Source organism: Homo sapiens, chromosome 12 (assembly GCF_000001405.40).
Source record: "Homo sapiens chromosome 12, GRCh38.p14 Primary Assembly".
Classification (NCBI taxonomy): domain Eukaryota; kingdom Metazoa; phylum Chordata; class Mammalia; order Primates; family Hominidae; genus Homo; species Homo sapiens.
This window is the reverse complement of record NC_000012.12, coordinates 79,532,584-79,554,514: the sequence shown is the minus strand read 5'-3', so window position 1 is coordinate 79,554,514 and position 21,931 is coordinate 79,532,584. Positions and strand designations below refer to the sequence as shown.

General features: G+C 44.3%; 8 annotated features.

Moving 5' to 3' along the window:
- Window positions 6,509–7,237: an enhancer, noted in NCBI's record as "OCT4-NANOG-H3K27ac hESC enhancer chr12:79941058-79941786 (GRCh37/hg19 assembly coordinates)". NCBI's record gives its function as "activates a minimal SCP1, AML or CMV promoter by ChIP-STARR-seq in primed H9 embryonic stem cells {active_cell/tissue: H9 hESC(primed)}" and the evidence as "EXISTENCE:reporter gene assay evidence [ECO:0000049][PMID:30033119]".
- Window positions 6,772–7,066: a silencer, noted in NCBI's record as "tiled region #2515; K562 Repressive non-DNase unmatched - State 13:Ctcf". NCBI's record gives its function as "represses a minimal TATA promoter and a strong SV40 promoter by Sharpr-MPRA in K562 cells {active_cell/tissue: K562}" and the evidence as "EXISTENCE:reporter gene assay evidence [ECO:0000049][PMID:27701403]".
- Window positions 6,772–7,066: an enhancer, noted in NCBI's record as "tiled region #2515; HepG2 Activating DNase matched - State 5:Enh". NCBI's record gives its function as "activates a minimal TATA promoter and a strong SV40 promoter by Sharpr-MPRA in HepG2 cells {active_cell/tissue: HepG2}" and the evidence as "EXISTENCE:reporter gene assay evidence [ECO:0000049][PMID:27701403]".
- Window positions 8,829–9,342: an enhancer, noted in NCBI's record as "OCT4-NANOG-H3K27ac hESC enhancer chr12:79938953-79939466 (GRCh37/hg19 assembly coordinates)". NCBI's record gives its function as "activates a minimal SCP1, AML or CMV promoter by ChIP-STARR-seq in naive and primed H9 embryonic stem cells {active_cell/tissue: H9 hESC(naive and primed)}" and the evidence as "EXISTENCE:reporter gene assay evidence [ECO:0000049][PMID:30033119]".
- Window positions 11,393–11,904: an enhancer, noted in NCBI's record as "H3K27ac hESC enhancer chr12:79936391-79936902 (GRCh37/hg19 assembly coordinates)". NCBI's record gives its function as "activates a minimal SCP1, AML or CMV promoter by ChIP-STARR-seq in naive H9 embryonic stem cells {active_cell/tissue: H9 hESC(naive)}" and the evidence as "EXISTENCE:reporter gene assay evidence [ECO:0000049][PMID:30033119]".
- Window positions 13,955–14,468: an enhancer, noted in NCBI's record as "OCT4-NANOG-H3K27ac hESC enhancer chr12:79933827-79934340 (GRCh37/hg19 assembly coordinates)". NCBI's record gives its function as "activates a minimal SCP1, AML or CMV promoter by ChIP-STARR-seq in naive H9 embryonic stem cells {active_cell/tissue: H9 hESC(naive)}" and the evidence as "EXISTENCE:reporter gene assay evidence [ECO:0000049][PMID:30033119]".
- Window positions 14,469–14,980: an enhancer, noted in NCBI's record as "OCT4-NANOG-H3K27ac hESC enhancer chr12:79933315-79933826 (GRCh37/hg19 assembly coordinates)". NCBI's record gives its function as "activates a minimal SCP1, AML or CMV promoter by ChIP-STARR-seq in naive H9 embryonic stem cells {active_cell/tissue: H9 hESC(naive)}" and the evidence as "EXISTENCE:reporter gene assay evidence [ECO:0000049][PMID:30033119]".
- Window positions 21,176–21,676: an enhancer, noted in NCBI's record as "H3K4me1 hESC enhancer chr12:79926619-79927119 (GRCh37/hg19 assembly coordinates)". NCBI's record gives its function as "activates a minimal SCP1, AML or CMV promoter by ChIP-STARR-seq in primed H9 embryonic stem cells {active_cell/tissue: H9 hESC(primed)}" and the evidence as "EXISTENCE:reporter gene assay evidence [ECO:0000049][PMID:30033119]".

Here is a 21,931-nt window from a genome sequence, read left to right as displayed (position 1 = left end):
CCTCAGCCTCGGTGTCCGCTCTGGCCACACTTGAGGAGCCCTTCAGCCCATCGCTGCACTGTGGAAGCCCCTCTCTGGGCTGGCTGAGGCCGGAGCCGGCTCCCTCTGCTTGCAGGGAGGTGTGGAGGGAGAGGCCCAGGCAGGAACCGGGGCTGCACGTGGCGCTCACAGGCCAACGTGAGTTCTGGGTGGGTGCAGGCTCAGTGGGCCCCGCACTGGGAGCGGCGGGCAGCACCGCTGGCCCTGAGCAATGAGGGGCTTAGCAACCAGGCCAGCAGCTGCAGAGGGGTCACCGGCTCCCCCAGCACTGCCAGCCTGCCCGTGCCATGCTCAAATTCTTGCTGGGCCTCAGCTGCCTCCCTGTGGGGCAGGGCTCAGGACCTGCAGCCTGCCATGCCCGAGTCCCTGGCCTGAGCCTCCCCAATGGGTGCCACTCCCTGCTCCACAGCGCCCCGTCCCATTGACTGCCCAAGGGCTGAGGAGTGCAGGTGTGTGGCGCGGGACTGGCAGGCATCTCCACCTGTGGCCCTGGTGCAGGATCCACTAGGCGAAGCCAGCTGGGCTCCTGAGTCGGATGGGGACTTGGAGAACTTTTATGTCTAGCTGGAGGATTGTATATGCACCAATCAGCACTCTGTGTCTAGCTCGGGGTTCATGGATGCACCAATCAGCACTCTGTACCTAGCTAATCTGGTGGGGACTTGGAGAACTTTTAGGTCTAGCTTGAGGATTGTAAATGCACCAATCAGCACTTTGTGTCTGGCTCAAGGTTTGTAAATACACCAATCAGCACCCTGTGTCTAGCTCAAGGTTTGTGGATGCACCAATCAGCACTCTGTATCTAGCTAATCTGGTGGGGACTTGGAGAACTTATATGTCGAGCTAGAGTATTGTAAATGCACCAGTCAGCACTCTGTGTCTAGCTCAGGGATTGTAAACGCACCAGTCAGCACCCTGTGTCTAGCTCAAGGTTTGTAAATGCACCAATCAGTGATCTGTGTCTAGCTAATCTAGTGGGAACTTGGAGAACTTTTACATCTAGCTAGAGGATTGTAAATACACCAATCAGCACTCTGTCTGGCTCAGGGATTGTAAACGCACCAATCAGCACCCTGTCAAAACAGACCAATCAGCTCTCTGTAAAATGGACCAATCAGCAGGATGTGGGTGGGGCCAAATAAGGCAATAAAAGCTGGCTGCCCCAGCCAGCAGGGGCAACTCAGTCCGGACCCTTTCCACACTGTGGAAGTTTTGTTCTTTTGCTCTTGGCAATAAATCTTGTTGCTGCTCACTCTTTGGGTCTGCACTGCCGTTATGAGCTCTAACACTCACCGTGAAGGTCTGCAGGAGGCCAGCAAGACGATGAACGCACCGGGAGGAATGAACAACTCCAAACGAGAGGAACGAACAACTCTAGACGGACCGCCTTAAGAGCTGTAACACTCACCGTGAAGGTCTGCAGCTTCACTCCTGAAGCCAGCGAGACCACGAACCCACCAGAAGGAAGAAACTCCAGACATGTCCGAACATCAGAAGGAACAAACTCCGGACACGCCATCTTTAAGAACTGTAACACTTACCACGAGGGTCCGCGGCTTCATTCTTGAAGTCAGCGAGACCAAGAACCCACCAATTAGGAACACAATTGTAACTATAGGATTGTGATGCAAAGAGTACAGAGACTACATTTATTGAGCACCTACTAAAGGGCAGGCCTGGTGCAAGGCTTTTTTACATCTGTAATCACATATAATCCTTAGCACAAAACTGAGATATGTTACTATCTTCCTAATTTCACATTCAAAAAACTGAGATCAGAGGTTAAGTATATCTTATCACATAAGCTTGGAAATGGCAGGGCAGGAATTTGAACTTAGGTGCTTCTGACTCAAATCCATACTCTTACAGTAGACTATCTCTCTGTTGCACATGGTGAGGATCTTTATGTTCATTGTGGAGGGAAAAGGGAGCCCAAGTCTAGAGATTGAGTATAAAGTTTGGGCCAAAAGCAGGAGTAGAGTCTGCTGGAAGACTCGCTAGCAGCCTTAGCATTGGCACCACCTCCTTACTAAAACCACATCTTGCTTCCTGGCAGAGCCTAGTACTGTTATAGTTGGCAGAGCATTACAGGGAGCTTGGAAGAACTTCCCCGGTACCTTCCAATTTTCCCTATTTGGTCAGTTCAGACTTGCGTTAGTGCAATAACCTCCTAACCAATCTCTTGGCCCCTATGCTTGCTTTACCTCCAGTCTGTTCTTCGCGTTGCACTTAGAACAACCTTTCCGAAGAACAGACCAGATCTTGTCATTCCTGTGCTTTAGCTCTTTCAAGGGTTTCCTGTTATAATTAGGATAAAGTAGAAATTCTTTAGCATGGTTGGTTTGCTCCTTCTATCCCTAGCCTTACTTCTCTCCACTGTGAACACCATGTTTCAGCCCAGCAGGACCACTATTCCTCCAAATGTACCATGTGCTCTCTCCCCTCTGCCGTGGGCATATTCTGCTGTTCCTTTAACATTGATCCATTCTTCCTCCTTTTCCTTCTTACTCCTACTTGTCTTCTGTGATCACTGCTTAAAAGTCATTTTTTTCAGAAAGCTTTTCTGAACCTCTTCTCCAACACTACCCCCACACATGTAGACTAGCACGCTCTAATATGGCCATCATCTTATTGTATTATAATTACCTTGTCTTATTGATATAATTTACATAACATAAAAGTCACTCTTTTAAATTGTACAATTCAGTGGTTTTTAATATATTTACAAGGTTATGCAATCACTATATAATTTGAGAACATTTTCATCACTCCTAAAAGAACCCACATACACACCCATTGACAGCCACTCCGTGTTTCCCCTTCCCCCAATCCCCTGACAATTATTAATCTACTTTTTATCTCTATTTATTTCCCTAGTCTGGACATTTTATGTGAATAGAATCATACCATATTTGTCCCTTTGTGTCTGTCTTCTTGCACTAAATATGTTTCTAAGGTTCATCCATGTTGTATTATGTATCAGTACTTCATTTCATTTTATGGTTGAAATATTCCATTGTATGTATGTACCACATTTTGTATATCCATTCGTCAGCTGATGGACATTTGGATTGTTTCCACTTTTTGAGTATTAATAAATAATGCTTCTATTAACATTTGTGTACAAGTTTTTGTATGGCCATGTTTTCAATGGTCTTGAGTATGTACCTAGCAGTGACACTGCTACATTGTATGGTTATTCTGATTCTGTATTGAGCTTTTGGAGGACTTTTCTAGAGTAGCCGCATCATTTTACATTGACACCAACACTGTATGAGGGTTCTGATTGTTTAGTGTCCTCACCAACACTTCTTTCTTTCCTTTTTTTCCTCCTCTCTCTCTCTCTTTTATCATGGCCATGCTAATGGGTATGACGTTACAATTGCCTTTTTACTGGTTTGTTTCCTTCATGACTCTGAACTGTGAAGGCAAGGACTGTGCTAGATCTGGTTTATTATTGTACTCCAGTGCCTAAAACATTGGGTACTCAACAAATATCTACAAAATGGGTGAGAAGACCTACAGCTTTCCTAGTTGCTTTGCTTCTATAAATCCAGGAAATATAGGGGCTAGAATTGGAAAAGATATTCTGGCTGCCAGTCCACAGCACTGTTCACCAGAGTGCCATAGGATTTTAATAACCACACTAAGTAAATGGTTCCATGGCTTTAATAGTTTTACCTAAGAAGTTCCCTGTGTGGAGAATGGCGTGAGTTCTCATTTAACTAGCTCAAAATGGGGAAGAACATACTCAACTCTGCTGGCATTTTAATCTGATTCCGGGGAGTCTTTCTATTCCAAACACCTTTTCTGAGGGCATGCGAACATTTCCTAATGAGAAAGCCATTCCTTCTGAGGGAAAGTGGGGGGAAAAAAGCAAAACAAAAGTTCCTTTACTGGAAACTGATGGCCACATCAATTATACATTCAGAATAATACAGATTGAACTCAAGTTGTCAGGTACTGAAACAACTCTATTTAGCCAAGTTACAAATGGGATCTCATCGACCCTTTCATAGCTATGTGTTTTTATTTGTCCCAGTGTACCAAATCTTGGATTCTAAAAGTGATCTGGAAGAGAAAAGATGCCTTTTCCTTGATTTCCTTGATTTGTCCTGTAAACAAAGTGCCTGTAAAAGAAAAGGCCATGATGCTTTCTTGGTAGCGTCGTTGGCGCTGTGATTAGGTGACAGGTGCCCTCCGTAAAACTCTTGAATTCATCTCCACCTTCAGTCCACGTTCCACCTAGTCGGGTTTTGCTCGGTGAGGAGTAGTCTTCCATAGCATTTTCTTCTATTCACTGTGCACCCTCCTGTACCATACTTCCATCCTTGTTTGTTTTCCTGTACTTTTTCTCTCTTCACCTGCTGTGAAATACAGTGTTGGCCCAACAATAGGAGTCTTCTATGAATTGTAGTCTTTAAACCCTGGGACTAGTTTTCTGCTCTATCTTCCTTCTAGTAAATGCAGATTTGGTGAATTACAATCCCCACTTGACTAATCTCAATAAACTTTTCCTCTATTATATTTTTTCCTTCAGAAACATAGAATGTGTTCATGAACTTTTGAGGGGAGAGAATGGGAAAGATTTGGGAAAGTCTTAGGTAAATAGTACTGACCTTGTGTAAAGAGTGTTAATGTTATTATATAGCAGTGAAAATACGATAGAAAAAATAACATAGTAATCATTGTCCAAATATGGCCCACTTGAACTCTGGATGGTATTTCAGCACTGTAGGAAAATTCCAGAAATCTCTCTGCCTACAAATATTTTCCTCACCTTATCTGCCTCTGCTGATAAATGGAGGATAAGCTTGACATCAGCAAATATTTGAAGAAGTACTGTACTTGAAGAAGTACACCACCAGTGCTGGAGGCAGCAGTATTCCAGTACATGAATTGCCTGTTATGTGCTTTACCTGATTTATTGAATACTTTCTGATTTACATTTTTACCCAGATCTTCAGTCTAACTTCAATAGGTTAGTTTGCATAAATTCTTGAAATACTAATCTCAGAGAAGTCTGATGCTAGTCTGCCCCTATACAGGAGGCAGAGTGTATGCCTAGGAACACTAGTTGAACTCATAGGAAGGGAGATTCTGCCCAAAAAGTTCAAGGAGTTCTAAGATTTCTTTTTTTTTTTTTTTCTTTTTTTTGAGAAGGAGTCTCACTCTGTCTCCCAGGCTGGAGTGCAGTGGCACGATCTCAGCTCACTGCAACCTCCACCTCCCGGGTTCAAGCGATTCTCCTGACTCAGCCTCCTCTCCTGCCTCAGCTGGGATTACAGGCTCCCGCCACCATGCCTGGCTAATTTTTGTATTTTTAGTAGAGACTAGTTTCACCATGTTGGCCAGGCTGCTCTCCAACCCCTGACCTCAGGTGATCCACCCGTCTCGGCCTCCCAAAGCGCTGGGATTACAGGCATGAGCCACTGCACCCAGCCGAGTTTAAGATTTCTAGCAGCCTTCTTTTCTTTTTTCTTTTCTTTTCTCTATCTCTCTTTCTTTTTCTTTCTTTCTTTCCTTCTTTCTTTCTCTTTCTTTCTCTTCCCTTTTTTTTTCAGACAGAGTCTTGCTTTGTCACCCAGGCTAGAGTGCAGTGGTGTGATCACAGCTACTGCAGCCTCAAACTCCTGGGCTCAAAGGATCCTCCCACCCCAGCCTCCTGAGGAGCTGGGACTACAGGTGCACACCTGTATAATAGTACATACCTGACTATTTTTATTTTTTTAGAGATGGGGTCTTGCTATGTTGCCCAGGCAAACCTTGAACTCCCAGCCTCAAGTGATCCTCCTGCCTTAACTTCCCAAAGTGTTGGGATTACAGACATTAGCCACTACCCCTGCTAGCTTTGCTTTCTTTGGTACGCCCCGGCTAGGACCAAATTTACTGGGACCCCGTTTATACACATAGTTTCTCAAGCAGTGAGAAACATGTGCCCCTGCTCCCCATATTTGCATACATGACTAATCTACTAATAGCTTTTGACCATTTGGGCAAACCCTGCATTTAAGCAAACCAAATATTTGTAACTTGAATATGGAAACAAAACAGAAATCCTGTACAAATGGGCTGTGCTGGATTATTTAACTTTTCATTTCTTTGAAGGGCTCCTTTTGCCCTTAGAGATAGCATTTGAGAGAAACTCCAAAATTCAGGCAGAAATTCAGGACAAAAAAGCAAGTTTAACCTCTGGTTTCTGAACTGTGGTGCATATTAGGCAAGACTGTTCCGGATAGACCAGAAACTTTGGCCTGTGCAATTCATGCTGCATGTCGCTATGATGTGCATCTGGATGTATTCACCCTGAGGTTGTTTATTTACAATGAGAATTGAAGGAAAAGTTCAGAAACATCCTGTCACAGGATGTGTGGATAGGCCTGCTGAATGCTGAAGCCAGAGGAAAGCAGGAAAGTTTCAGCAATTAGTGATGGCATCGCCCTCTAGTGGTTTGTCCGTGGCTTAAAAATGAATATACTGCAGGTGTATCCCAGTTCTCCAAAGAATTGTCCCAAATAAACTGTCAGATTGTGTACGGAAAAGAGAAAAGGAGGGGAAAGAGGAAGGGAGCAAGAGGGAAAGAAAGGAGGAGGGAGAGGATTCTTGCCAGGATAGCCCATCTCAGCAGCTAGGAAGCTCTAGGAGCCAGGCTTTCTGTAGAAGCCTTCTGACATCCAATTAGGCCCTCAGTGAAAACATTTTTTTCCCAAGCTTCTGGCAAGTGATTCTAGCTAAAAGTCACTATTCACGATTTGTAATAGGGCCCTGGGTTCCTTTCCAGCCTCCACAGCTTTGTACCAGCTTCCCCTCCCAGGTCCACATTCCATTCCTAGGTAAGTCATCACACGTGCTGAGAGGTAGAACTGTCTGCAGGGCAAAGTGTGTAGGTAGACCAGGCTTCTTTTCTTGCACCCCCACCCTTCTTTGTTTCCTTTATGCCTCATTGTCATCTCCCCAAATACTTTTGCTGCCCTTTATACTTAATTTCCTGTTGGCTCCCCACAGAAGAGCTGGTGGCCCAATTCCTCAGGTGCCTGAAAGAATGTTTAGAGAGCTGCCTCAGCCTTTAGGGAATGACAGGAATGCTGAGAATTTCAGGCAGTACTTTTCAGACCCACTGGAAAGAAAGTTTTGGCCCAGAGATGGGGCGGGGTGCAGGGGGTGGGAGGGATGGGTTTGGGGGGTCTGTGTGTGTAAGAGGAGCTTCAAAACCACCTCAGATCATAATTACCTAAGGCTATGGACTTGTCTGAAGCCTGGGAGTCTCATCGTGGAGTCATCTCGTGTTTGTTGACCTATAGGAACAGAGGCCTCTGGGAAAGTGGTTGTTTGTGTAGCAAATTATAGATATGTGAAATTAATTTGGCTCTGAGTCTTGAGACATGAGTTATTTCTCATAATATTTTAGTCATAGTCCCCATAGTTGGTAAACAGAGTAAGAAAACTTTTCAGTGTTGAAATGTAGACTATTATTCCTGGGTTTGTTAAATCCTGGAACTTCTCCTGAGTCTAATTTCATTACAGGAAGGAGGGGAAATCGTGAAGGTTTGACTCAGAACTGTCACCACAGTCTTTCTGATTCTCTATCCACATAAAGTTTTTTATTTGGTTATTTTTGAATGCTTTTTATTCAACTCAGAGCAACTTCGTCTTAAATGGGGGGGCTAGGTAAAATAAGGCTGAGGCCTACTGGGCTGCATTCCCAGACAGTTAGGAATTCTAAGTCACAGGATCAGATAAGAGGTGGGCACAAGATACAGGTCATAAAGGCCTTGCTGGTAAAAACAGGTTGCAGTAAAGAAGCCGACTAAAACCCACCAAACCAAAACCAAGATGACGATGAGAGTGACCTCAGGTTGTCCTCACTGCTACACTCCCATCAGTGCCATCACACTTTACCCTATATGGTCTAAAAAGGGGAGGCATGAATAATCCACTTCTTGTTTAGCATATCATCAAGAAATAACCGGAAAAGTGGGCAACCAGCAACCTGTGGGGCAGCTCTGACTATGGAGTAGCCATTCCTGTATTACTTTCCTAGTAAAAAGCCATTACTTTCCTAGTAAACTTGCTTTCACTTTATGGATTCGCCTCAAATTCTTTTTTGTGCAAGATCCAATAACCCTCTTTTGGGGTCTGGATCAGGACCTCTTTCTGGTAACATGAGGACAGTCAAAACCCACATCACAAACACAACAACCTTTGTGACACTTAGAGGAATTTCAAATGAGGAAGATGATTTGGTTGGTTGGGACTTAGTCTGGTAATGAGAGGCCTCTGCTTTAAATTATTTATTTACCTGTTATTCTAAGGCATGTCTGGCTCTTGATGAAGACTTACTGTTACCTTCAACTGTTGCATCCACTTCACGGGACTGTCCTTCTCCACCTTTTGTCTCCATGAAAACCACCTTGGAAACATAAATGTGTTACTTAGGAGAGGCAACACTTCAACTTACATTCAAAGAGTGCAAACATTACCATGCTTAACCAATTTAGTGAGAATCTTTCCTTATGTTAAGGTATAAACACAAAAGGATCTTATTTTTCCCATAATTGCTACTAACTGTGTTTTTTTTAAAACTCTGCCTGCTGGGCAGTAAGCTCCCTTAATGGTGTCTCAGCCTAGTTCTATAACTTATGTCACATCCAGTTTATTAAAAATGCTCTCATTGGAATCTTAAGACTCAGAAGTGTTCTTTTAAAAAGTGTAAAAATCATTTTCTATCCAAAAGTCTTCTTTCTCCTCTATCTACCCCCAGAATAGTCTAGTAATCTTAAATACTGGAGGGTGGAGTGGGGGGTCTTGGTCTATTCTTTCACATCCTAGTCCCCTTTCCTGTGGTTACTTTCATGCGTGTCCGTGTGAAGAGACCACCAAACAGGCTTTGTGTGAGCAACATGGCTGTTTATTTCACCTGGGTGCAGGCAGGCTGAGTCCGAAAAGAGAGTCAGTGAAGGGAGATAAGGGTGGGGCCGTTTTATAGGATTTGGGTAGGTAAAGGAAAATTACAGTCAAAGGGGGTTTGTTCTCTGGCGGGCAGGAGTGGGGGTCGCAAGGTGCTCAGTGGGGGTGCTTTTTGAGCCAGGATGAGCCAGGAAAAGGACTTTCACAAGGTAATGTCATCAGTTAAGGCAAGGACCGGCCATTTACACTTCTTTTGTGGTGGAATGTCATCAGTTAAGGTGGGGCAGGGCATATTCACTTCTTTTGTGATTCTTCAGTTATTTCAGGCCATCTGGGCGTATACGTGCAAGTCACAGGGGATGCGATGGCTTGGCTTGGGCTCAGAGGCCTGACATTCCTGCCTTCTTATATTAATAAGAAAAATAAAACAAAATAGTGTTGAAGTGTTGGGGCGGCGAAAACTTTTGGGGGGTGGTATGGAGAGAGAATGGGCGATGTTTCTCAGCGCTGCTTCAAGCGGGATTAGGGGCGGCGTGGGAACCTAGAGTGGGAGAGATTAAGCTGAAGGGAGGTCTTGTGGTAAGGGGTGATATTGTGGGGATGTTAGAAGAAACATTTGTCGTATAGAATGATTGGTGATGGCCTGGATACGGTTTTGTATGAATTGAAAAACTAAATGGAATAACAGAAGGAGAAAAACAGGTATAAAAGGTCTAAGAATTGGGACAACTCAGGATATCTGATTAGAGAGTGCTTAAGGAGATTCGGCAGAGTCCTGCCAGCAAAGATTATTTATTTACTTCAAGAGTTAAGAGTGGCAGTTTGGGGATAGCACCAGGAGATATCAGCTGTGATGGCTTGGAAAAACAGTGTAAACCGGCAGTGTAAACAAGAGCAGGGCATGTATGAGTAGTTCAGAATGGTGAATAGGAGTATGACTAGACAGAAAATAGTAGGATGACAAGTTTTTTTTTGGGGGGGGGCGGGGCACAGTCTAAGTTGGTCTGTTGTCTGGAATGAGACTGGGGCCTAATAAAAAGGAGCATCTATACAGGAGCTTAAATGGGCTGTACCCTGTAGCATTCTGAGGACAGGCCTGAATTCTGAGAAGGGAAAGTGGTAGAAGTATTGTCCAGTCTTTTTTAAGTTGGTGGCTGAGCTTGGTGAGGTGTGTTTTTAAAAGACCTTTAGTCCATTCTACTTTTCTTGAAGATGGAGGACCATAAGGGATATAAAGGTTTCAGTGAATACTAAGAGCCTGAAAAACTGCTTGGCTGATTTGACTAATAAAGGCTCGTCTGTTATCAGACTGTATTGAGGTGGGAAGGCTAAACTGAGGAATTATGTCTGACAGAAGGGAAGAAATGACTGCGGTGGCCTTCTCAGACCCTGTATGAAAGGCCTTTACTTATTCAGTGAAAGTGTCTATTTAGACTAAGAGGTATTTTAATTTCCTGACTCGGGCATGTTGAGTAAAGCTAATTTGCCAGTCCTGGGTGGGGGCAAATCCTCGAGCTTGATGTGTAGGGAAGGTAGGGGGCGTGAATAATCCCAGAGGAGTAGTAGAATAGAAGATGGAACACTGAGAAGTTATTTCCTTGAGGATAGATTTCCACGATGGAAAGGAAATGAGAGGTTCTAAGAGGCGGGCTAGTGGCTTGTACTATAGAATAACCTGCCTTTGCTGGTGTGTGGCGATTAGGCCTGGTGGAACCGCCATCAATAAATCAAGCGTGATCAGGGTGAGGAACAGGAAAGAAGGAAATTTGGGGAAATGGGGTGAATGTCAGGTGGATCAGAGAGATACAGTCATGGGGGTCAGGTGTGGTATCAGGAATAATGTGGGAGGCTGGATTGAAGTCCGGGCCAGGAACAATGGTAATTGTGGGAAACTCAACAAAGAGTGAGTACAGCTGAAGGAGCCGGGAAGCAGAAAGTATATGCGTCAGGTATGAGGAAGAAAATAGATTTTGGAAGTTATGAGAACTGTAAAGAGTGAGTTGAGCATAGTTTGTGATTTTGAGGGCCTCTAAAATTTTTAAAGCAGTGGTAGCTGCTGCACGCAGACATGAGTGCTAGGCTAAAACAGTAAGGTCAAGTTGTTTGCACAGAAAGGCTACAGGGTGCGGTCCTGGCTCTTGTGTAAGAATTCTGACCACACTAACTATGCCTAGGAAGGAAAGGAGTTGCTGTTTTGTAAGGGATTGAGGTTTGGGAGATTAATCGGACATGATCAGCAGGGAAAGCATGTATGTTTTTATGAGAATTATGCCGAGATAGGTAACAGATGAGGATAAAATTTGGGCTTGACTGAAGTAATGGGGGCTGTCTATGAAGCCTTGCGGCAGTACAGCCTAGGTAATTTGCTGAGTCTAATGGGTCTCAGGGTCAGTCTAAGTGAAAGCAAAGAGAGGCTGGGACGAGGGGTGCAGGGGAATAGTGAAAAAAGCATCTTTAAGATCAAGCACAGAATAGTGAGTTGTGGAGGAAGGTATTGAGGACAAAAGAGTGTATGGGTTGGGCACCACAGGGTGGATAGGCAAAACAATTTGGTCGATAAGGCGCAGATCCTGAGCTAACTTGGAAGGCTTGTCTGGTTTTAGGACAGGTAAAATGGGGGAATTGTAAGGAGAGTTTATAGGTTTTAAAAGGCCGTGCTGTAGCAGGTGAGTGATAACAGGCTTTAATCTTTTCAAAGCATGCTGTGGGATGGGATATTGGTGTTGAGTGGGGTAAGGGTGATTAGGTTTTAATGAGATGGTAAGGGGTGCATGATCGGTCGCCAAGGAGGGAGTAGAGGTATCTTATACTTGTGGGTTAAGGTGGGGGGATACAAGAGGAGGACACAAAGGAGGCTTTGGATTGGGCAGAAGGGCGGCAATGAGATATAGCTGTAGTCCAGGAATAGTCAGGGAAGCAGATAATTTAGTTAAAGTGTCTCGGCCTAATAAGGGAACAGGGCAGGTGGGGATAACTAAAAAAGGAGTGCTTAAAAGAGTATTGTCTAAGTTGGCACCAGAGTTGGGGAGTTTTAAGAGGTTTAGAAGCCTGGCTGTCAATACCCACAACAGTTATGGAAGCAAGGGAAACAGGCCCTTGAAAAGAAGGTAATGTGGAGTGGGTAGCCTCCCTATTGATTAAGAAGGGGACGGACTTACCTTCCACTGTGAGAGTTACCTGAAGCTCGGCGTCCATGATGGTCTAGGGGGCTTCCGAGGTGATCCGGCAGTGTCAGTCTTCAGCCGCTAAGCCGAGAAGATCTGGGAAGGAGTCAGTCAGAGAGCGTTGGGCCAGAGTTCCAGGGGCTTTGGGAGTGGCTGCCAGGTGAGTTGAACAGTCCAATTTTCAGTGGGGTCCCACACAGATGGGACACGGCTTAGGAGGAATCCCGGGCTGCAGGCATTCCTTGGCCCAGTGGCCAGATTTCCGGCACGTGTAGCAAGCTCCTGGGGGAGGAGGTTCTGGAGGAACACCTGGCTGCTGCGGTTCAGGTGTTTGGAAGTTCTTGTGTGCTGGAGATGTGGCTGGGGTTTGTCTCACAGTGGAGGCAAGGAATTGCAACTTTTTTCTGTTATTGTACACCTTGAAGGTGAGGTTAATTAAGTTCTGTTGTGGGGTTTGAGGGCCAGATTCCAATTTTTGGAGTTTTATTTAATGTCGGGAGCAGATTGGGTAATAAAATGTATATTGACAATAAGACGGCCTTTTGACCTTTTAGGGTCTGGGGCTGTAAAGCGTCTCAGGGTTGCTGCCCATGAACTGGGCTGGATTTTTATATTTGATGAAAAAGAGCCAAAACGCTTCTGATTTGGGATAAAGAAAAAGGAGCATTAACCTTGACTATGCCTTTGGCTCCAGCCACCTTTTTAAGAGTAAATTGCTGGGCAGGTGGGGGAGGGCTAGTCACGGAACGAAACTATAAGCCGGACCAGGTGTGAGGAGGGGAGGTGATAAAAAGATTATAGGGTGGAGGAGCAGAGGCTGAGGAAGAATTGGGACCTAGCTCGGCCTGGCGAGGAGCAGCCTGGGGAGGAAGGGAGAGGTCAGATGGGTCTGTAGAAAAGGAGGATTAGAAAGACTCAGCAACGCTTGGGGTTGGTACTGAGGGGACAGGCAGGAGGGAAAGAAGGATGATTTGGGACGAGTTGCACTGGGCACAGAGACTAGGAAGGGACTGATGTGTAAAAGAATGCCTGGATGTCAGGCACCTCAGACCGTTTGCCTATTTTACAAGAATTATTTAGATTTTGCAGGATGGAAAAATTCAAAGTGCCATTTTCTGGCTATTTGGAACTACTGTCGAGTTTGTATTGGGGTCAAGCGGCATTGCAGAAGAAAATAAGGCATTTAGGTTTTAGGTCAGGTGTGAGTTGAAGAGGTTTTAAGTTTTTGAGAACACAGGCCAAGGGAGTAGAAGGAGGAATGGAGGGTGGAAGGTTGCCCATAGTGAAGGAAGCAAGCCTAGAGAAAAGAGAGAGTAGAGAAACGGAGGGAAGGGGTTTGGGGGTTCTTACCTTCCAGAAAAGTGGGAAAAGGGGTTGGGGTGCAGAGATATGAGGTTGGGGTGCAGAAATAAGGGATTGGGGCACAGAGATATAAGAGGTTGGGGTGCAGAAATAAGGGGTTGGGGTGCAGAGATAAGAGGTTGGGGCATGGAAATAAGGAATTGGGGATTCTTGCCCCGTAGAAAAGCGGGACTTGCCGCTAAGGGTGAAGGAGAAGGGGTTGAGGGGTACCTGCCCCTCTCCCAGAAAAGAAGAGAAGGGGTAGAGACAAGGAGAGAAGGAGTTGGGGTACTTGCCCCTTCCCCAGAAAAGCGGGACTTGCTGCTAAGGGTGAAGGACAAAGGCAGGCGTCCCTGCGTGGTCTGACACCCTTGAAACGTGGGTGTATAATCAGAGAGGCGTCCCTGCAATGATTAAACACCAAGGGAAGGCTGCCTTCCCAGTCCGTGACTGGCGCCGGAGTTTTGGGTCCACGGATAAAACGTGTCTCCTTTGTCTCTCCCAGAAAATGAAAGGAATTGAAATTAAGAGAAGGGAGAGATTGAAGAGTGGAAAGGAGAAAGTGGTTGAGGGACAGTGAGAGAGGTTGGAGAAGAGAGTAAGAAGAGGCTGCTTACCCGATTTAAAATTGGTGAGATGTTCCTTGGGCTGGTCGGTCTGAGGACCTGAGGTCATAGGTGGATCTTTCTCAAGGAGCAAAGAACAGGAGTACAGCGGATTGATCTCCCAAGGGAGGTCCCCCGATCTGAGTCACGGCACCAAATTTCATGTGCGTCGGTGTGAAGAGACCACCAAACAGGCTTTGTGTGAGCAACATGGCTCTTTATTTCACCTGGGTGCAGGCAGGCTGAGTCCAAAAAGAGAATCAGTGAAGGGAGATAAGGGTGGGGCCGTTTTATAGGATTTGGGTAGGTAAAGGAAAATTACAGTCAAAGGGGGTTTGTTCTCTGGCGGGCAGGAGTGGGGGTCGCAAGATGCTCAGTGGGGGTGCTTTTTGAGCCAGGATGAGCCAGGAAAAGGACTTTCACAAGGTAATGTCATCAGTTAAGGCAAGGACCGGCCATTTACACTTCTTTTGTGGTGGAATGTCATCAGTTAAGGTGGGGCAGGGCATATTCACTTCTTTTGTGATTCTTCAGTTACTTCAGGCCATCTGGGCGTATATGTGCAAGTCACAGGGGATGCGATGGGTTGGCTTGGGCTCAGAGGCCTGACAGTTACCCTCTGATGTAGAAACTGAGGCTGACATTGACTCCTCTTACCTGCCTGCCTCTAGTGAGGTTGTCTTGTCCTCACTTCTCTCCGTAGGTTGTGGCTGTTTATTTGGCCAACAGACTGTCTTTTGGTTGAATCCATAGGAAGGAGTCTGAATGTGGTCTCTCTTGAGACACATATGCTGGTTCTTCAGTGGACTCTATAGGATATTTCTGACCAGGCTTCAGGTGGAGACCTCTCTCAGGTGTAACAATCTTCTTCATACCATAGTACCCAGTTTCATGGGAAAGCACGAAGACTTAAGCCTCCCGCCACCTTCCTTGGTATTTATCAGTGCCATGCGAAACCCTTTATTCTTGCTACTCCAAAGAGTGGCAATGCAGTCTGTCCTCTGGCACTTCTCAGCTTCAGCACCTCTCTCCTCCCTCTGCTCTCCCAAGGATCAGGTGCTGTGTCAGGTCAATGATGTGACAACTTTCAGATCAGAGCCAATCTCCAATCCCCAGCTTAGTGGTGTTGGTGGGAAGCACATTTTAGTTCATGTGGAATGCCTAGGTCACATTCTAACTCCCCAAACAGTAAGAGATGGTGGAAGGGATAGTCAGCCCTCCACAAAATGCATCTCCCTAAGAGATAACCCCTGTTTTCTTTCTTTTCTTTCTTTCTTTCTTTTTTTTTTTTGAGACAGGGTTTCACTTTGTCACCCAGGCTGGGGTGCAGTGGCATAACTTGGCTCACTGAAACCTCCGCCTCCCAAGTTCAAGCAATTCTCCTGCCTCAGCCCCCCAAGTAGCTGGGATTTCAGGTGTGTGGCATCACACCCAGCTAATTTTTCTTTTCTTTTTTTTAAAGTAGAGATAGGGTTTCATCTTGTTGGCCAGGCTGGTGTTGAACTCCTGACCTCAGGTGATCCGCCTGCCTTGGCAGTGATGGGATTACAGGTGTGAGCCACCCACCCAGCGTGACCTCTGTTTTCTCCAAGTCTTTAATCAGAGAAGTGAGTCTGCTGAAGTATTAACTGCCTTTAATGCCTGCATGAGGATGTCTGTCCCATACATCTGTAACTTCTTTAGACATAGAACGTGAGGTAGAGTTTTATTCTTAGCTCCAGGCCTTCCTCTGCGATTCTTGATGTTTAGTCCCCAGTACAATGAGTTAGTGTTTCTCAGTCTTGGCTTCATATTAGCTTCAATTGTTCTTGGTATTGTAGTTTTAGGGTTTTGTTTTGTTTTGTTTTTTAATCTAATGATTTTGATGCAAAGTGAGGATTAAGAACCTCACATGACCAGTGGAGAGAACAAGACTCTGAAAGGACAGGATTTAGAAATAATTATAGAGATTGGTTAGTATATCAGTCTCCTGAGAAACATGTGTTTCTTGAGGTGCACCTGAAGAAAGCAAAACTCCTGTATGAGTAGTTTGACGGATGAAGAATTTGGGGAAGGGATCATTGAATAGTTCCATTTCCCCCCAAAATTTTCATACTAATCATTTTGTTTTTCTCACCATCAAATACTCAATCTCACTCTTAGGAAAAAAAAAATGGAATTTTTGATCTTAACACTGCCAGTTGGGCTGGCCAAGGTGCTGTGCTTGTGGTTTTGCTTTACACTTGGTCCTAGCCCTATAACATAGTAAGGAATAGGGATAAGATTTCTGCAATTAGTTATCATGCAAAGTAATTGGTCTAGGCCTTTTTTAAAAGGTTTAGCTCCTGGCCATGAGAAGAATGGTACTTCCTCCTATGGCATTTAAAGTCTGTCTACTCAGATACCTTTTTCTTTCCAGGCCTTCTTTTCCATGTGCTAAAATAATATCTACTGCCTTATAGTAAGCCCACTCCAAAGTTCAGCGAAAGAGAGGGAGCATCTCTTCTTTATGTCTCCAGTTTAGGAGTGAGAAAACTTTCTCAGAAAACTTCCCACTTCCTTCTGTGTCTCATTAACCAAGACTGAATCATATGTTCACTTTTGAAGCCAATGGCCAGTCAAGGGAATAGGATTCTCATTGGTGGATTATACTGTCCGCAGGGAGTGGAATGAATATTGGAAAGTCAACTTTTATGAACACTACACGTTGCTTACCTCTCTCATAGCACTTTTCACACCATTTTGTAGTGTTCTCTTTATTTTTCTCTTTTCTGTAATAGGTTAAGGATCCTGTCTTATTTATTTATTTTTTCTCTCCAGGTCCACCAGGAGTTTATAATATGATTAGCAATATAATATCAATTCAGATATGAAATACACACACACACACACACACACACACACACACACACACACACACACACACATACACTTTAAGTAGATGCATTTACATGCTGCATTGTGTCTTTGAATTGGGGTGCCCTAACTGAATCAGCAATATAAAAGGTCATGATAGCAAAGTCCACTGGAAATGCCTTTCCACTGAAAAACTACAGTGACAGTAGTTTTTCCAGTCTTTTCAGATCCCCTAAAGTCTGATATGCCTCCATCTATGTCGTCCTATAGCTCCATATTCACATGATTTTTGGTCAATCCTCCTTGGATGCAGTCATGTTTATGAGGGTTTTCGTATAGTCAAAAGATCTTTACAAGTCTCTTATTCTCTTTATTCTCTGTTTCCTTGAAGGTACTTAGAGCTGCAGTAAAACAGGTATTTGAAGGTCTCCTGTGGTACAGCACCATCATTTGAACAGTTTTGTCAGGCATTATTGGTCAAAATGGTTGGCTAGAACATAAAATAAATGGAGAGAGACCATACTGGAATAAACAAGATACTTAGGGCAGCATAGTAGAGTGCTCAGTGGCTGACAGAGTATAAAACAGTCTACTGCACTCATGGCAAAACAGAAAATCTATATCTACCAATGAAAGGAAAAATGCATATGAACAATGATTTATAAAACATTTTTGGAAAATAATTCAGACAAATAAGCTTAAAAGGAATAGATGCTACATAGAATGATATTAGATAAGGGCTGGGCGCAGTGGCTCACACCTGTAACCCCAACACTTTGGGAGGCCGAGGTGGGTGGATCACCTGAGGTCAGGAGTTTGAGAGCAGCCTGACTGACATGGTAAAACCCCTTCACTACTAAAAATACAAAATTAGCCAGGCGTGGTGGTGGATGCTTGTAATCCCAACTACTTGGGAGGCTGAGGCAGGAGAATTACTTGAACCCAGGAGGCAGAGGTTGCAGTGAGCTAAGATCATGCCACTGCACTCCAGCCTAGGCAATAGACTGAAACTCCATCTCAAAAAAAGAAAACAACAATGACAACGATGTGCTGTACTACCATTTATTATATGCTAATATAGCAAATGGTAGCATAGTAAACTAGTTTGGGATGTCTATCAGCCCATATCTTCTTTTTCAGATGTGAATCAATAGCCCCTGCTGAAAGGATAGGTTTAGGTGGCTAGGTGTGTACCATGGAACCCACATCTCTGGCCCCACAGATTGCACCAGGAATGTGAATACCTGACCTAAGCTGAACAAGTTATATTTTCTTTCTCAGTTTCCTTAATGACCCCAAAACTGTATTTAGATAGTGTTGAGTTGGGCCTAGTGCCTCAAATGGGCTTTAGTTACAATTAAATTTGGCTTTGAGGGGCAGAAAGCAAAAATTACAATGCCTAAGCAAGATGGTAACTTATTTTTCTCTGATGTAAATATAGGCAGTCCTGAAGGCTCATCTGGCTAGCCATTTCATGATCATCAGGGACTCAGACCCCTTCTGTCTTATTGCTCTACCATTTTCAACATGTGGCTTTTACCCAGTCGCAGGCTGGTAAACTGGCCCTCTGGGGGGGAAAATGGCATAATTTGTAGCATTTGCCTGATTTTCATGGTGGAAATACTCCCACCATGGCCAATTTCAAGCTACAATGGTTTAACAACCAGCTTGCAGAATTCCTCAATGTTTAATCATCTGCTCTCCCAAGCTCATATAAGCCAGATCTAGCACACCTCTGTTTCTCTGTCATGGTCCAAAATGGCTGCCCTCGCTCCAGACATTAGAATTGCATTTCAATCAATAGAATGGAAGAAATTGGAAGAAAAGATCAAACTCCTTCCCTTTTTAGGATATCTTCTGGGAAGTGTGCACAGCTCTTCCACTTAAATCTCATTGGTGAGAATTTTAACACATGTCCACACCTAGATGAGAAATGTATTCTTTATTCTGGGCCACCATTCACCACCTATTTGGGTGTTCTCTTAATAAAGAAGCAGAGGAGATTAAATTTTGGTGAAAATTAGTAATCTCTGTCACTAATAATAACACTAGTTCCATATAAAAGCCCAAGTTAGTGAGGAACCAGAAGATCCAGTTAAAAAGAAGTTAGTTTTCAGAGTGAGATGAATTGGAGTGGATTACAGCAGAAATCCTAAATATGCAGCTTCAGATAGAGAAAAGATCAGTGCCTATTATCTAAATTTTAGTGTGACCATTGATAACACCCCCTTTTTCATCTCCTGAGTTCCAAACCAATTGAGGGACAGATAATTAAGTCAGGCACATGGAAATAAAAGTGTCACCTAAGCCATTTGGAGGACAACTTTTTTTTTTTTTTTTTGAGATGGAGTCTCGCTCTGTCACCAGGCTGGAGTGCAGTGGCCCAATCTCAGTTCACTGTAACCTCTGCCTTGCGGGTTCAAGCGATTCTCCTGCCTCAGCTTCCTGAGTAGCTGGGCCTACAGGCACATGCCACCACGGCCAGCTAATTTTTGTATTTTTAGGAGAGATGAGGTTTCACCATGTTGGCCAGCATGGTCTATCTCTTGACCTTGTGATCCGCCTGCCTTGGCCTCACAAAGTGCTGGGATTACAGGCATGAGCCACCACACCCAACCAGGAGGACAACTTTAATCTTGCAGTATCAAGGGGCTTACCAACTTCACTGCAGAAATAAACTTATCTACCTAATCAAAGGCAGACTTGGAAAACTGCAGTGCTGCCCACCGTCCCATCCTGGTTTTTCCCTGCTGTGGGGACCTGCCCTTGAACGCCCCATTCAGAAGATTCCCAAGGAGAAGAAAGGAAAGGGCTGCACAAAGCATGTGTAGTTTCTTCCTTCAAACTCACCAGTCAGATAATTGATTAAGATTGATTGAGGGTTAAGGAGAGAGGCCAGTATATGTCTATTCATATTGCAACATGAGGAGTAAGTGCTCTTATCTAATACTTAAGACTTTCAAACCTGTTGAGGTTTAGCTCATTATCCTGCAATTGGATTATGGGAAATCCATCCGAATCCTTACCACTATCTACACTTATTTAAGCTAACACAGATGGGTTCTTTTACAACGAAACAGTCCCTAAGACAGAAATGTAATTAACAGCTACATTGTGTGAGTCAGAGACTTAAATGTTGTGGGAGTTCATAAGACAGTTATAAGAAAGGGTTGGAGCAGACAAAGGATTTTTTATGTAAGTGGTGGAATGTAAGCTTAAATCTTAATGTCTGGGCAGGATTTTTGATAGGTGGAGGGAATGCAAAGTGTTACGGTCGAGGGGAACTTCATGGATGAAATGGGAATGAGGGAAATGGACATGGCATGGTCAAGGCATGGAGAGGAGACTACAAAGTCTAACTGAGATGCCTGTTGAAGAGCAGTGGAAAATCAAGTTAGGCAACTTGGGAGCAAGATTATGTACAACTGTAACAGAGGAGTATGTAGTTGATGGGGAAGGAAATTGGGAGTCATTGCAAAAATGTGGTGTTTTTCACAGATATTCTGGAGAAAGTATTATTCCCTGAACTTAATAGTTGTACAGAGCACAGATTCCCTTTTTTGCTTAAACCAGTTAAACTATATATCCCTGACTAATACATTTCACTTATAGGGTATAGGGAAGTAATTCTCAAACTTCTACATGCACTATAATAAATTGGAGGATTTGTTAAAATACAGATGCTGGGCCCTACTACCGCAGCTTCCAATGCAGTAGATCTGGGATGGGACTCAAGAATTTTTTTTTTTTTTTGGTTGGGCACAGTGGCTTACGCCTGTAATCCCAACACTTTGCGAGGCTGAGGTGGGAAGATCACTTGAAGCCAGGAGTTTGAAACCAGACTGCACAAAAAAGTGAGACTCTGTCTCATAAATAAATGAGTAAATAAAATGAAAAAGAATTTTTACTTTTAGGAAGGCCCAGGTGATGTTAATGCTGCTGGGATTATACTTTGAGAGTCAGTAAGATGAATGCTGGCCTAGGATGAATCATTTTGAGTTTTGAATAAGTGAATGAATGAAAATGAATTCCCTAAATCATAAAATGAGAAATCAGATGAAATGGCCTCTGAGGTCTTTTTGAGTCTATGCTCCTGTGATTCTAAACTACAGAATACCCCATTCACATTTTTTTCATATAATGAAATCTCAGTGTTTACTAAGATTGCTTTCATCTTTTGTTACTGCATTCATTTTACATGAGAGGCTCATATCATTCCGTAAGTGGGAATCTCAAGGCAGGTGTTTGGACTTCAGATGTTTTCTTGAGAGAGAAGGACCTCTTAACACGGGTCCTCCATGCTTCTGCACTCAAGAAAATAAAAAAGGAAAAAAGAAAAGCAGCAGTGAATTCCAATCTTGCCCATACTGCTTTAAAAGGTTAAAAGTGAGAGGATGAGACTTTCTAAAGGAAAAGTGTGGTTGACTCCCTACCTGAAGCTTTGGAGAGCATTTACCCAAACTGTTAACATTTCAGCCTTAAGAAAATATTTACCCAATTCATAATTGTCCAAAACAATCAGCTGGATATCTGGCCAAAGGAGTCAAGGCTTCCTGGTGAGCTCAAACTTTCGTCACGGATGACCGGGCAGGCTGATTTAGCCACAGGGGGAGGGATATTTGTCAACACTTGGAGCAGAGCTCTCCTTACTCTAACAGGCCTGCATACTGTTAGCTGAGTAAAGGCTGGTCTATGGTCGGGCGCGGTGGCTCACGCCTGTAATCCCAGCACTTTGGGAGGCCGAGGCGGGCGGATCACGAGGTCAGGAGATCGAGACCATCCTGGCTAATAAGGTGAAACGCCGTCTCTACTAAAAATACAGAAAATTAGCTGGGCATGGTGGTGGTTGCCTGTAGTCCCAGCTACTCGGGAGCCTGAGGCAGGAGAATGGTGTGAACCCGGGAGGCGGAGCTGGCAGTGAGCCGAGATCGTGCCACTGCACTCCAGCCTGGGCAACAGAGCCAGACTCCATCTCAAAAAAAAAAAAAAAAAAAGTCTGGTCTAAGCAGCTGCTGTCAGCCATACGGGGAACTATGGTCC